Source organism: Homo sapiens, chromosome 6 (assembly GCF_000001405.40).
Source record: "Homo sapiens chromosome 6, GRCh38.p14 Primary Assembly".
Lineage (NCBI taxonomy): Eukaryota > Metazoa > Chordata > Mammalia > Primates > Hominidae > Homo > Homo sapiens.
This window is the reverse complement of record NC_000006.12, coordinates 18,642,765-18,658,690: the sequence shown is the minus strand read 5'-3', so window position 1 is coordinate 18,658,690 and position 15,926 is coordinate 18,642,765. Positions and strand designations below refer to the sequence as shown.

At 40.2% G+C, this 15,926-nt stretch overlaps 1 long non-coding RNA gene across 1 annotated transcript in view, besides 1 other annotated feature; it reads right to left on the bottom strand.

Annotated features, from left to right (window-relative positions):
• Positions 1-15,926, bottom strand: part of MIR548A1HG (MIR548A1 host gene) — a 200,152-nt gene that overhangs the window by 64,208 nt on the left and 120,018 nt on the right. The window lies entirely within an intron of this gene.
• Positions 1,594-2,093: an enhancer, noted in NCBI's record as "H3K4me1 hESC enhancer chr6:18656829-18657328 (GRCh37/hg19 assembly coordinates)". NCBI's record gives its function as "activates a minimal SCP1, AML or CMV promoter by ChIP-STARR-seq in primed H9 embryonic stem cells {active_cell/tissue: H9 hESC(primed)}" and the evidence as "EXISTENCE:reporter gene assay evidence [ECO:0000049][PMID:30033119]".

Genomic DNA, 15,926 nt, shown 5'->3' with positions numbered 1-15,926 from the left:
CTCCATCCCTTTATTTTGAGCCTATGTATGTCTTTGCACATGAGATGGGTTTCCTGAATATAGCGCACCAATGGGTCTTGACCCTTTATCCAATTTGCCAGTCCTTGTCTTTTAATTGGGGCATTTAGCCCATTTACATTTAAGGTTAATATTGTTATGTGTAAATTTGATCCTGTCATCATGATGTTATCTCGTTATTTTGCACACTAGTTGATGCAGTTTCTTCATAGTGTCATTGGTCTTTATATTGGTGTGTTTTTGCAGTGGCTGGTCTTTCCTTTCCATATTTAGTGCTTCTTTCAGGAGCTCTTGCAAGGCAGGCCTGGTGGTAATGAAATCCCTCAGCTTTTGCTTCTCTGGAAAGGATTTTATTTCTCCTTCATTTATGAAGCTTAGTTTGGATGGATATGAAACTCTGGGTTGAAAATTCTTTTATTTAAGAATGTTTAATATTGGCCCCCAGTCTCTTCTGGATTGTAGAGTTTCTGCTGAGAGGTCTGCTGTCAGTCTGATGGGCTTCCCTTTGTTGGTGACCTGGCCTTTCTCTCTGGCTGCTCTTCATATTTTTTTCCTTCATTTTGACCTTGGAGAATCTGATGATTATGTGTCTTGGGGTTGATCTTCTCATGAAGAATCTTAGTGGTGTTCTCTGTATTTCCTGAATTTGCATGTTGGCCTGTCTTGCTAGGTTGGGGAAGTTCTCCTGGATAATATCCTGAAGTTTGTTTTCTGGCTTGTTTCCATTCTCCCTGTCTCCTTCAAGTACTCCAATCAATTATAGGTTCAATCTTTTTACCAAATCCCATATTGCTTGAAGGCTTTGTTCATTCCTTTTCATTCTTTTTTCTCTAATCTTGTCTGCATAGCTTATTTCAGCAAGATTGTCTTCAAACTCTGATATCTTTTCTTCAGCTTGGTCGATTCAGCTATTGACACTTGGTTATGCTTCACGAAGTTCTCGTGTTTTGTTTTTCAGCTCCATCAGGTCATTTATGTTTCTCTCTAAACTGGTTATTCTAGTCAGCAGCTCCTCTAACATTCTATCAAGGTTCTTAGCTTCTTTGCACTGGGTTTAGAACATGCTCCTTTAGCCCAGTGAAGCTTTTTATTACCCATCTTCTGAAGCCTACTTCTGCCAATTCATTCATCTCATCCTCCGTCCAGTTCTGCACCCTTGGTGGAGAGGTGTTGCGATCATTTGGAGAAGAGGCACTCTGGCCTGTTGGGTTTTCAGCATGTTTTTTGTTGATTCTTTCTCATCTTCTTGAGTTTGTCTAGTTTCGATCTTTGAGGCTACTGACCCTTGGATGGGGTTTTTATGGAGATTTTTTGTTATTGTTGATGCTATTGTTGTTGCTTTCTGTTTGTTTGGGTTTTTTTTCTTTCAATGGTCAGGTCTCTCTTCTATAGGGCTGCTGCAGTTTGCCAGGGGTTCACTTCAGGCCCTATTCATCTGGTTTGCTCTCATACCTGGAGATGTCACTCAAGGAGGCTGGAAAGAAGCAAAGATGGGTACCTGCTCCTTCTCCTGGGATCTCTGACCTTGAGGGGCACCAACCTGATGCCAGTAATATCACTCCTGTATAGGGTGTCTGACAACCCCTGTTGGAGGATCTCACCCAGTTGGATGGCACAGGGAACAGGACCCATTTAACAAAGCACTTTGAATGTCCCCTGGTGGAGGAGGGTGTGCTTTGCTGGGGGAAAACCCACTCTTCTGGGCTGCCCAGATTCCTCAGAACTACCAGGAGGAAAGGCTAAGTCTGCTGGTCCGCAGAGACTGTGGCCACCCTGACCCCTAGGGGCTCAGGCCCAAGGAGATCCAGATTCTGTCCCTGAGCCTCTGACTAGAGTTGTTGGAGTTCCTGCAGGGAAGCCCCGCCCAGTGAGGAAGGATGTGTCAGGGTCAGGCTTGAAGAGGTGCTCTGGCCATAGTCTGCCGTAGCCAGTGTGTTGGGCTGTGGGGACCTCTTGGGGACCAAGCCGTCCAGGTTCCCTGGCTCCAGGAGGGGAAAAGCACGGCCTGGTGGATGGATGCTGCCCTTCCCCTGCCCAGGGAGCTTAGCGTGTTAGGCAATTATGAGTCCCAGTGCTGGCTGCTGCCCCTCCCCCAAGGAGTTCAAATGGCCTAGGCAGCAGGCAGCCACAGCTGTGGTGCCAGTTGCCCCTCCCCCAGGAGCTTGGCAGGCTTAGGCATATTCCAGCTGAGAGGCTATTAAGAATCTGTGTGGCTCCAGGGTTGGGACCCTAGGTCCTGGTGGCGTGAGTTTGCGAGTGGGATCTTCCAATCTGTGGGTTGCACAGTTCTGTGGAACAACCATGGTTTCCCTGGCTGGGTAGCATGCTCACTCACCCCCTCCCTTAGCTAGAGGGTGGGGGCTCCCCTGCCTTTTGTGGCTCTGAGGTGGGCCACCACACCTCACTGCTCTTCCTTCCTCTCCGTGGGTCACGCCAGCTGCCTAGTCAGTTCTGATGAGAGAATCTGGATACCCTGGTTGCTGGTGAAGGATTCACATGCTAACTGTGGTTCTTTTCAGTTGGAGCCTCTGATCACCACTGTTTGTAGTTGGCCATCTTGACCCCACCCAAGAAAACGTTTTTGTTATTGGATATTATTTTGAGGTGACAGGAAAGGTGAAGTTTACTGCTATTGAATGTGTACTAAGTAGCTGCCACATTGTATATTCTTCATTCATTAGAGTCTAACAATATTATTTATTTTATTTGATGAAGTGAAATAGCGAATGTAGACTAAAGACTTGCCAGGACAACACAGTCACTAGGTGAGAAATAGGATGGCCATAATTTGTACCTCATTTGAGGAATGTTTAAGAAATTTCAGCCACATGCTCAGAAGTCTTTGGGAAGGGGATCTGCTCTCTAAAACACCAAGAATTATTTGCCATGACTTGAAATGCAATTTAAGTATGCTCTTTATGTCCTATCATTGTTACCAAACAAAACTCAGTGATGGGTTAGATAGATTACTCAATCGTTGTTTGATTTTCTTTCATTTTAAGTGTATTGGTTTTGATTTCAGCTTCCAAATTCCATGGCCCTTATTCAAACAAATAAGTATCCCATAGAAAAAATTATGAACAATGATTACCAATCATTTACTCATACAGAATCAATGGCAGAGTAACTCTGGAATATGGAGTTAGCCAGGCACATTTCATCTTAATCATCATCAAAACAGAGCAGTTTCTATTGAACTCCTATTCTTTCTGCCAAGTACTGAGCAAGGCACTATTCATGCACTATCTCATTTAATTCTTATGATAATCCTATGAACTATATAGCTGACATCCAATCACACTTGAGGAGCATGAGGTTAAGCAATGAGAAACAGGAGGGGTTAAGCAATATTCCCATGGACCGTAACTCAAGCTTCCTTGAGTTAGAACATAGAGCCAATCTTCACTCTACTGCCATGCTAGATATCCTTATGTTGTCACTTTTTTAAGGCATTAGTTCCTGCACCACCAGTAGTGGCATTTTTTTGCCCATCCAAAGTATATAAAGACAATGGCAGCATTTTGCTAAAGAGCATAAGATTAAGAGCTTAGACTCTAGAATTAAACACTGGGTTTGAATTCCAGTTCTACCAGTAATGATGGTTATTCCTGCTCCCTGTAAAATGGGCATGATAGGACCTGCATGGTGTTGCTAAGAACTAAAAGAATGTGAGTATGTTAAGCAATTTTCATGGGATTGGCCAATAGGATGAGCTCCTTATCTGTGAGGTCATTGCTGTGTTTCTAATCCTTATTTCAATTGCTCTTTTTTATTTTTCCCACCTCTGATCTAGGTCAGGGCCCTTACTGCTGCAATCATGCCTTCTTTGTGTCCCCATCCCTGGCAGCTCTACCACATTGCCTACTTGGACAAAGGAAGTGCTTGCTGTCGCATAAACATGTGAATGAATGAAGCACATCAGTACCTGTGCTTAAGCACGTAAATTTGTGTAGACCACAGCTCACTCAGATGGCCTGACTACCACCATAGATATTTTCCTCAGGAAAAGGAGTTTTGAAACAACAGCCAACTCTGGGAGGACTACCTGAGAGTTGTAAAATAGTATGCCATTTTAAAATCCCTCAGGGAAACTGAAATAATATGTAGGAACACGATTAGGCCAGGTAGATAGATGTCTTAGTCTATTCAGGATGTTATAACAAAATGCTATCAAATTACTATAAACTAGATGGCTTATAAACAACAAATATTTATTTCTCACTGTTCTGGAGGCTGAGAATTTTATGACTAAGGCATCAGCAGATTTGGTATCTGATGAGGTCCCACTTTCTTGTCGGATGGTGCCTTCTTGCTAGGTCCTCACATGGTGAAAGGGAAGACCTCTGGTCTTTCCAGCCACTTATAAGGGCACTAATCCCATCCATGTGGGCTGTGCCTCCATTATCTAACCACCCCAAAAGTCCCACCTCCTAATACCAACACATTAAGCCTTAGGTTTCAACATAGGAATTTTGGGGAAACACAAACATTCAGATCACAGCACTACAGAAACTTACTTCATGTAATACATGGAAAGATATGTAAACTTCCACCCCTCTTACACTAAGCTGCTTTACAACAACTGCATATTCAGCACACACACACACACACACACACACACAAACACACCTTCTTCCATTAATTCCTTACTCCCACCATTAATTGTTCTTCTACACTTTTTTAAGGGCACCTGAGGTGTATAAGCCTCAGTGACAAAAATAGAAAAAAGAAACTACTTTAGTGTATGTTAACAAGCAATGAGATAAAGATAAAAACTTATCAATTGAGCCAATAAACTTTCTTTTTTTTTTCAGTAGACTTCATTTTTAGAGCAGTGTTTAGTTTTAAAATGAGGTTTTGCTGTGAACCTAAAAAGTATACTCCTTTAAGCATTAATCTATGCCCTAGCTAATAAGTGCATTATTTTACCAACCTGATTGGACATGCCATTTTGTGACTTCTCTGAGATGTCTGATCAGAAAATTAAGGGGGCAAAGGAAACTGTTCTGAATAAGGAAACCAGTTTTAGTTCACTTCAGTCTTGAAAGTACAAAATTTTGTTGAATTAAAGAAACTTCTATAGATAAAACGTCTATGGTTGCCTCATTTTAAATATCATTCTAGTTTTATATATAAAAGTAATGTCATCCCTTTATAAATGATAAAATCTCATTAATTTGTACTAATTCACTGATTCCAGATTTGTAATTGAGTAGGCACTTTGCTACAGTTTGATCATTAAACTATCATTGGGAAAAGATAAGTAAATTAATAGCATTTGGAAGGGGAATGGTTGTCATCAAACTCCTCCTGTCTCCACAAATGAGGACTTCTATTCCACTGCCAACAGACAGTAGTTTTAGAAAAACCCTTCAGGTCTCTCTGTGCTCACTTGTTTTTCTGTGTGGAAGAAAAGCAATTTAACTGACACAAGAATCAAGGGAGAGAGACAGAGACAGAGAGGGATGTACAGGGAATAAAAAACTTCTGAAGGCAAATAATGCACTTGGAATACCTCCTCATGAGAAGCCCTATCTGGTATTTGGTGCCAGGTAGATTTTGGAGGACTGGAGTAGAACATAGTCATATGGAATGCCATTTGATCCGAATATGACACTAAGAGTCCCTTGTTTTCCATGGAAGTTGGCAAAGATTGCATGCTGTTAAACACCAGGGATTTCCATCTCCAGAAATAATTCCCAGTCAAAAGAAAATAAAGGTGGACTTGGCTGCCATTCTAACTCCAAGAGGAAATGAACTCTTGCTGGTGATTCCATACCCTGGCTGCTCATTAGACCAGAGGTTAGTAAACTACATCCATGGGCCAAATTCATGCCTCCTTCCATTTGTTTTTCGTTTCTATTTTCTCCTTCTTAATCATGTTTTTTAGTTTATTTTTTATTGTGGTAAAATACACAAAACAAAAAATTTACCATTTAGCCTTCCTCAAGTGTACAATTCAGTGGCATCAAGCACATTCACACTGTTGTGCAAACATCACCACCATCCATCGCTAGAACTTTTTCATCCTCCCAAACTGAAACTGCACCCATTAAACAACTGCCCCTTCTCCACTCCCTCCAACTGCTAGAAACTATCATTATACTTTCTCCTGCTATGAATTTGACTATTCTAGGTGTCTAATATAAGTGGAATCATACAATAGTTGTCTGTTTGTGTCTGGCTTATTTCTCTTAGCAATTATCCTCAAGGTTCATCCATGCTGTGGTATGCGTCAGAATTTCTTTCCTTTTTAAGGTTGAATAATATTCCATTGTATGTGTATACCATATTTTGTTTATCCATTTATCTGCTGATGGTCATGTGTTGCTTGCACCTTTTGGCTATTGTGAATAGTGCTGCTATGAACATTGGTATACAAATATATGTTCAAGTTCTTGCTTTCAATCATTTGGGGGTATATATCTAGTAGTGGAATTTCTAGACCATATGGTAATTCTATGTTTAACTTTTTATGCTGTTGTTTTCAAAAGGATCTCACTCTGTCACCCAGGCTGGAGTGCAGTGGCATGAACATGGCTCACTACAGCCTCCACCTCCTGGATTCAAGTGATCCTCCCACCTCAGCCTCCTGAATAGTTGGGAACACAGGCATGTGCCACCAAGCCTGGCTAATTCTTTGTAGAGACAGGACTCACTATGTTGCCCAGGATGGTCTCAAACTCCTGAGCTCAAGTGATCCTGCCACCTCAGCCTCTCAAAGTACTGGGATTACAGTTGTAAGCCACAGAGCTTGGCCTGTTTAACTTTTTAAGGAACCTGCTTTTATAAATAAAGTTTTATTGCAAGACAGCTCTGCTCATTTGTTTATGTGTTGTCTGCGTTTGCTTTCATGCTAAGATGGCAGAGTTCAGTGGTGGTAACAAAGACCATGTAGCCCCAATGTCTTAAATACTCACTTTCTTGCCTTCTACAGAAGAAGCTCAGCTCACAAATCCCCGCATTAGAGTCCCCTGAGGCACTTTGTAAAAATACAGATACTTGGGCACCATCAGACACAGTGAATGAGACTCTCCAGAGGCAAGAGCTACAAAGCTATCATTCGTATATTCCTTCAAGAGGATTCTGGCACAGCTAATCTCTGAGCCAGCATTTGGGGACCACTGAACTAAAGGACCTCCAGAAACTGGTATAATGTATTCAGTTGCCCTAAATATAAACAATTAGAGAATTCAATTAATCTCAACATTTCATAAATACTTAATGCAAACCCGAGACTAAAAGCATATACACTGGAAATATGACAGAAGCTAAGCTTGATAGTAAAATTGGTATCTGAAAGATGAAGATGAACAGCTTGGGGATTGAAGGGAGCCTCTCTTTGGACAGATTTATGATAACGTGACATGGAGGAGGTATTTTAGCAGCGTCTCTCATATTGATCCATGCAATCAGTGAGCAGAATTTCTCCATCTCAGTAGTCTGTCATATCTCTTTAACTCAGCATCTCTCAGCCTCTGACCTATTGACGGCTTCTCTATTTTTCAGTCTGCACTGTTTTGTTTTGCTCTGCACTTTCTAAGTCTGCTCATCGATTTCACTCTCCTTCTATGGTTGTGGGGATTTTGTGTCTCTGTCCACCTTCACATTGGTGTGTGTTCAGTTTTGAGACCACAATGGTGAAGTCCTATTTGCGGTTTTCTCCCCTTTCAGATGTTCCTTATTAATTCTTTGTATGACCCCCATAGAATATAGCTGTGTATTATTCAGACTTAAAAGAAATGAGCTATTAAGACATGAAAAGATGAGGAGGAACCTTAAATGCATATTGCTAAGTGAAAGAAGACAGTCTGAAAAGGCTACATACTGGTATGATCTGAATTGTGAGACATTCTGGACAAAGATAAACTATGAAGACAGTAAAAAGTTCAGTAGTTGCCAGAGGCTTGGTGTTGGGAGTAGGGAATGAATAGGTGGAATGCAGAATAATTTTAGGGCAACAAAACTGTTCTGTATTATACTGTAATGGTAGATACCTGACTTTATGCATTTGTCCAAACCTGAATTATGTTCAATACTAAGAGTGAAACCTAATGTAAACTGTATACTCAGTTGATATTAATGTGTCAATATTGGTTCATCAATTATAACAAATATACCACAGGAATGCAAAATGTTAATAATACTGGAAACTAGAGGGTGGAAGCAGAGGGGATATATGGAAACTCTCTATACTTCCTGCACAATTTTTTTCTAAACCTGAAACTGCTCAAAAAATAGAGCACATTCAAAATAAAATAAATAAATCTTTTTTAAAAGGAAAACATTTGTGGTCTTGTGAGCCAAATCACATTCAAGCCAAATATGATAGCAATAACACAGACCATATCACACTGAAACAATCATTTAATGAAAATCTTCTTGGATTATAAAAGAAAAGATTCTAGCTTAACCTAATCAAAGGCACCCTTACTTCAGACAATACTCATTATGAATTAATAGTACAACCTAAGAATTTGGATTTTCCTTAGAGATCATTAATGAATAGGCAGGAGCTATAATTGATTAGAGCTAAGATCTTGGCACTATATGTAACCAAACCAGTAACAACAACAAGAAAAATGAAAATTGAACATGTTTCATTTAGTGAAGTCAATAAATATCAACATGACCCCCATTAGGCATGAGGAGACAGAGGTGAACAAAACATATTCCAGTAATTCTCAGCCTTTTTGAGTTTTGATGAGCACTCTTGAATATTTGAATGTTGATGACACACTTAAGAAGTTGAGTTTATCCACTATACACTTAGTTGTCTTTCAGAATTAGGTAGGTATTTGAGTAGCGAGCTAGGAGCATCCCTGATCGAGATCTCTTTTAGGGCTGGGCACAGTGGCTCACGCCTGTAATCCCAGCACTTTGGGAGGCCAAGGCAGGTGGATCATGACGTCAGGAGATCGAGACCATCCTGGCCAACATGGTGAAACCCCATCTCTACTAAAATACAAAAAAAGTAGCCAGGTATGGTGGTGTGCACCTGTAGTACCAGCTACTCGGGAGACTGAGGCAGGGGAATCACTTGAACCTGGGAGGCAGAGGTTGCATTGAGCCGAGATCACACCATGGCTGTACCCCATCCTGGGCGACAGAGCACCACTCCGTCTCAAACAACAACAACAACAACAACAACAACAACAACAACAACAACAACATCTCCTTTAGTATCCTGCAGAAAGTTCTTCCATTTTCCCAGAAAGTGAGCCACCTTTCTTGATTTGGATTTGGTGTTACACTCTGCCTATTACCTATCACACAGAGTTCCTCTCACTCTACACTGATTGTATCAGCTCAGCTCTCACCCATCAGACAGCACCAGTGTGGATACCGATGGCAGCGAATCTTTTATACATTGGTAAAAGTTATTGGCATAGTCATAAAGGGTTTGAGAATTTAACAGAAAAAGAAAGTCAATATTTAACATTTTATTTTTCCTTCATGACTTAGGCTCACTTTCTTGAACTTCGGTTATTATTCTGAAACCTTCAAATGCTTCTGCGATACTGAAGACTGTTTCCAATGGCCCTGATTTCTTGCACTTTAAAAAATTTTCTCATTCACTCCTCGGTGAGCTGCTATCTGTCTTTCTTTTCAGGCACAGTGATGTAGTGGAAAGAACACGTGCTTTAAGGTCAACAGACCTGATCCCACACCTAGCTCATCACTAATTAGCTGCATAATCTTCAGGAACTTCATTAAATTCTCCAAGCCTCAGTTACCTCTTCTATAAAATATGAGTATTAATACTTCCTTTGAGACTTTTTTAAGAATAAAAGATTAGATTTAAGCTATAAAATACAGGGTTATGCATAAACCTTCAATAAAAAGCAGCTATTACCTTTTTTTATTATTATTCTTACTCAAATTACTACATCAGTCTCCTCTCTAATCTTCCTCCCTCATATCCTGCTGCCTTGTAGAGTTGACCCTATTTTTTTTTTTTAAGATGGAGTATCACTCTGTCGCCTAGGCTGCAGTGGAGTGGCGCGATCTCTGCTCACTGCAAGCTCCACCTCCCAGGTTCACGCCATTCTCCTGCCTCAGCCTCCCGAATAGCTGGGACTACAGGCGCCCGCCACCACACCCGGCTAATTTTTTTGTATTTTTAGTAGAGACGGGGTTTCACTGTGTTAGCCAGGATGATCTCCATCTCCTGACCTCGTGATCCACCTGCCTCAGCCTCCCAAAGTGCTGGGATTACAGGCTTGAGCCACCGCACCTGGCCTGGAGTTGACCCTATTTCAAACTATCATCAATATTGCTGTAAGTAGGGCTTTTCTATAATATGATCCTGCTTCATTTCTTCCCCTGCCAAAAGTCATTCAATGGTTTACTAACACTTTATCCCAGACATATCCTCACTTGCATTTCCCTGAGCAGAACTGTATTCGCTTCCTATTGCTGTTATAACAATTTACTATGAACTTAATGGTTTTAAAATGACACAACTATATTATCCCAAAGTTATGGAGGTCAGAAGTCTATAACCAAGGTGTTAGCAGGGCTATGTTTCTTCTGCAGGCTCTTGAGGAGAATCCATTACCTTGCCTTCTCCAGCTTCTAAAGGCCAACTGTATTCCTTGGCTCCTGGCCCCCTCCCTTGTCTTCTAAGACAGCAGCATAGCATTTTACTTCTCTCTCTGACTTTGACCTTCCCCTGTCTCTCTCCTCCACTTTAAAGGGTCTTTGGTGACTATATTGGGTCCCTCTGAATAATCCAGGATAATCTCTCTATTTTAAGGTTAACTGACCAGGAAACTCAATCTCCTCTGTCATGTAACATAACATATCCACAGGTTCCAGGGATTAGGACGTGGACATCTTGCAGGAGACAGGGGAGGGGCCTACATCAGGGACCATGTTCTTACTTGCCTTTGTGTCTGTATCATCCTATTCCCTTAGCCTGTAGTTCTTGTCCACACTTCTCCATCAATCTCCTTTCTTTCAGACTCAAATAAAGTGTCAACTAATTCAATAAGCTTTTGCACACCCTAGGCCTATGTCCCTCTCCTTTGCGTTTATCCAACACCCTTTATTTTATGCAAAAAATTTTCTACTATTGAAGTTCTAATTATTAACTTATCTGTATCGGTCAACAGATTAAAAATTCTACCTCAGGCTGGGTGCAGTGGCTCACACCTGTAATCCCAACACTTTAGGAGGCCAAGGTGGGCAGATCACTCAAGCCCAGCAGTTTGAGACCAGCCTGAGCAACAGGGTGAAACACCATCTCTAAAAAATTAAAAATTAGCCAGGTGTGGTGGTGCGTACCTGTCTGAGATGGAAGGATCAACCTGAGCCTGGGGAGGTCGAGATTGCAGTGAGCCATGATCACACCACTGCACTCCAGCCCGGACAATAGAGCAAGACTCTGTCTCAAAAAAAAAAAAAAAAAAAAATCTACATGGTTAGGGTCTGGGTCATTGTTCTGATTACCAGCCCTTAGCAGAATGTATAAATTAAGTGTTCAGTAAGCATGTAATGGAAGAGAAAATGCGCCTTTGGGAGTAAAAAAACAAAAGTTTATAGTTGTTACTGTTGCTTTGTTCTTGTGATTTTGTTGCTTTGTTTATGTGCTTTTGCTTATTTCCTGATTTTTACCTGAGTTACCTTTCAGTTCAAATCATTAAATGTGTGACCACAGGGAAAGTGTTAATATAACTATAAAGTCTCTGTAGTTCTCAATACTACATCACCTTGGAAATCACCTAGGGAGCTTTAAAAAATTGTGATGGCTTCAAATCCCCCCTGAAATTCTAATGTAATTCTGTAACCTGGGCATTGAGATGTTTAAAGCTCTGCAGAGATTCCAGTATGCAGCTAAGACTGAGAATCACTGGTTTATATGTAGTGCTCAAAGACTTCCTATGGCAATTCCCAGAGCAATGATATCTCATATTAACAAGATTTGAATATCTCACTAGTATTTGTTATTGATAAAATGTACTGTGGCTACTGGCAAATGGTTATATTCATTGATATACTATTTGAAAATAAAACACTCTGAGTTTGAGTGTATATTCTCTATTCTGATAAATTCTGTGCATTCTCTTGAAGAAAAGGAAAGGGAATTTTTACATATTCTTATTAAGTGACTGTGCTATGAAGGAGAAATTTTCTCAGCCTCTGAGGAGTTAGTTCTCCTTGCTGCTGCATGACTGGCTCATTAGACTTTAGTGCCTGGGCCCCAGCTTCCTATCTCTGGGAGGTTGTTGTGGATCACTAAAAAGAAAGGTTCCTGCCCATGGAAGCTCTTTGATGCTGTATGAGGGCAGTGCCTTGCTCATAAGGCCTCAAAAGCCCAGACTTTTGCCAAACCATCTGTTTTTACCAATGTATCTGTGTCATCAAACTAAAAGCATCAATAATGAGAAAAAATATTAAATAAAGTTCCAAATGGTTGATGCACTATATTTTGCTGAAGGGAAATTGCCACATGCAATCAATGTAACACTCATCAATGGACATTTAATAATATCTTCTTTCCCTCCTAATCCCAAATGTTTGTGTATCAGACTATAAGCATAGAGAAGAAAACATGTTTTTCCTAGTTCACAACTGTTTTGTATCCTTAAAGGACTAAAACAGATTTAAAAGGGTGGTTTATAATGTTTGCAAAGAAGCTATTATTTTCTTATTGGCTTCTTATACTGAAAAGAAAGTAACTCTAAAATATTGAAGAAATTTAGATTCCCAGTGTATTTTTCTGATCATAAACAGCTATATAACAAATTGCATAATATAGACTACCTACTTTCTTGTATTAGTTATCTACTGCTGGGTAACAAATTACCACAAACATAGAGGTTTAAAGCAATGCATACTTATTATTATATCTCATGGTTTCTGTAGAACAGGAGTTTAGGCACAACTTAGCAGGTCCTCTGTTCTGGGCCTTACAGGGCTGTAAAGTCTTAGCTATTCAAGATGTTAGCTGGGGCTGAGGTTTCCTCTGGAGACTCAGCTGGAGAAAAATCCACTTCCAAGTTCACTCAGATTGTTGGCAGAATTTTTTTCCTTAGCATAGGACTGAGGGTCCTGGCTTCTTGCTGGTGGTCAGCTGGAGGTTACCCTCAGCAAGTAGAGGCTATCCCAGTTACTTGCCACATGTACCTCCCAACATGGTTGCTTACTTTTTCAAATCCAGCTAGGGGAGAGAGTCTCTAGAGAAAGACTATTAGTAAGACTGAATCTTTTATAACATAATCGCAGGAGTGACATCCATTACCTTTGTTTTATTCTATTGGTCAGAAGCAAGTCACAGCTTCCACCCACACTCAAGAAGAGGAAATATATAAGGATGTGCATATCAGCAGAGAGGGGCATCCTAAAGTCTATCTGCCAACTTCCTTTTCCCATAGCATGACTCGTGGTAGTAGGAGGTGGAGATTGTGCTAACCAATTCCACCTAACCAAGAAAATTGATTCTGAGTAGAGCTTCTTGGGCCATGCTTCCTGAGATTGGGACTATTTCTTCAACTATTATGGGAACTAAGGAAATCCAACGAAAGGACATAGTTAGAGTTCTGTTTCATTTCACTAAGAAAAGTAAGTACATAAATTAGAAAGTATCTGAATACGCTTAAGTAAATTATTGTTACATAGTTCCAGTCTAAGCAGGATATTTTGTTTGTTTGTTTGTTTTATAAGAGTTCAGTAAAAGTATTTGCATAGGATTCAAGATGGCTAATTAACTCAATAGACCACCTGGTAGGATGAAAGCCTTGACATAAGGTAGAGTTCATATTCTAGCTGAGTGACTTAAATGAGTCAGGTGCTAAGTAAATACATGTTGAATTCAAATGAGCAAAGACTCTGCATTAGGGTCTCATGGGGGACAAATGACTAGCCCAGAGTCACACTGCTAGTAGCTTAAGATTTCATCTTCATATGTTATATGGCAGGAAGCTTGTCATTCTGTCATAGTCAGCTGTTTCCCTCCTCAGTTCCTTTTATGACTCTTTGTGTGTGTATAATCTGAAAACCCAAAATCCATAAGTTCCAAAATCCAAAACTTTCTGAGCACTGGCAAGAGGCTTAAAAGAAATGCTCATTGGAGCATTTTAGATTTCAGATTTTTGGATTTGGGATGCTGAACTGGTATAATGCAGATATTCCAAAATAAAAAAAAAATCTGAAACCCAAACACCTCGGGTCCCAAGCATTTTGGATAAGGGATACTCAACCTGTATGTGTGTGTGTGTGTGTGTGTGTGTGTGTGTGTGTGTGTATGTGTGTGTGTGTATCCCATTTGAACTTCAAAATAAACTTTCGGACTTAAAGTGCTATTCTCCCCACTATCCCAAGCTAACTTTCCATTTCTAGTGAGGCTTCAACAGTGATTCTAAGCAAGGAAGAAGTACAACAAGCTACATAAAAATTGCTTCTCCAAACATTCATAGGAAGCTCTGTTACATAATCATTCCCCTCTTTTAGTTTCCCACTACCATAGTGAAAAGGGTCATTTGACATGCACCAGCCCATGGATAATACAATCACTTATTAGACACCAGGAACCATCTTGCAAAGAACTTGACCCAATGCAAGGGCCCAACACAGACAGCTGAGAAATTACACTGACTGGTTGCATAGGCAGAAAGAGGAGGTGAGAAGGAAACATATTTGCCAGCCCTTCCATTAGCCAGATGTCTATGGACATTAAGTTATGATTCATTATTCTTCATAACAGTCTTGAAAAGTAGATGGATTTCCTCCCTTTACCAGTAAGGAAACTGAAACCCAGAGAGTTAGGAAATCTTCTAAGTATTACACTGTGAAAGTGGATTCCAACTCAAGTCTATGTAATACCAAGGTCTATGTACATTCTACCATGCTAGGTTGCCTTTGCACTAAGAGAGAAGTACAAAGCTCTGGCTTCTTTTTCTAATCCACTATTAATAGTGCAACACTTGCCTGCCATGGAACTGGCATTTTCCTTATATTGTAGGTTTTCATGATTCTTACTCATCACAGCTAGTTAAAAGGGGCATAGTAGTTGACTTAAGAACAAACAAACTTTTTTCCCCACTTCCTTAAATCATAAAAATCCTTGAGAATATAATTGCCTATACTTTGCTTTCTAGAAATTCAAAGCATCTCCTATAATAAATATTAAATGCAACATATTCCACAACTACAATATGCAAAAATGTGACTTTTTATACTCTTGGACTTGATTTTTTCAGTCAATTTATCCTACCACATACAGCACATGCAAGATCTTGTAGAGGCCTATTGGGCAGGGTAATTTTTAAAAAGAGTATTTTAAATTAAACAGTATACACAGTTCCCAACCTTGAGGCACTTGAAATCTAATTATAGAGTTGAGCAAATTGGAAGTAAAAATACACAGATATACAAATATCTCAAAAGAAAGTGTACCCATTGAAAATGTTTTGGAAGTAGCAAGGCTTTCTGGGAAGGCTTTAAAGAGAAAATGGGTTTTGATTGGAATTTTGAAGAATAGAAAGAATATTCTGTTCTTTCTATTGAGAAAGAATAGTTCTCAATATTTTTGAGAAAGAATGGTTGAGAGAAGAGAATAGCTAAGTATGAAGATAATTGGGCCAAGCGCCCAGCGGGTTTACAGGAAATGATACAGGTCTGATGGCTGAACAAAAGAGATTTTTAATGAAGAGATTACTTGCAGAGTTATGGATAGGATGAAGGGAACCAGAGAGAAGTAATTTCCATACTTAGACTGAATGAGTAAATGGAAGAAGCTGTCATGGGGCTCCATTGAAAGCTGGATCCTTGCCAGGAGCCATGGACACAGAAGATATAACTGCTGCCAGAACCATGCCCTCAAAGTAGAGAGCCAAGACCTCTCTCTCCTCTGCCCTTCAATTTACCAGTGTCTCCCACTGGTCAACCCCAGTGAGAAGCCAGTC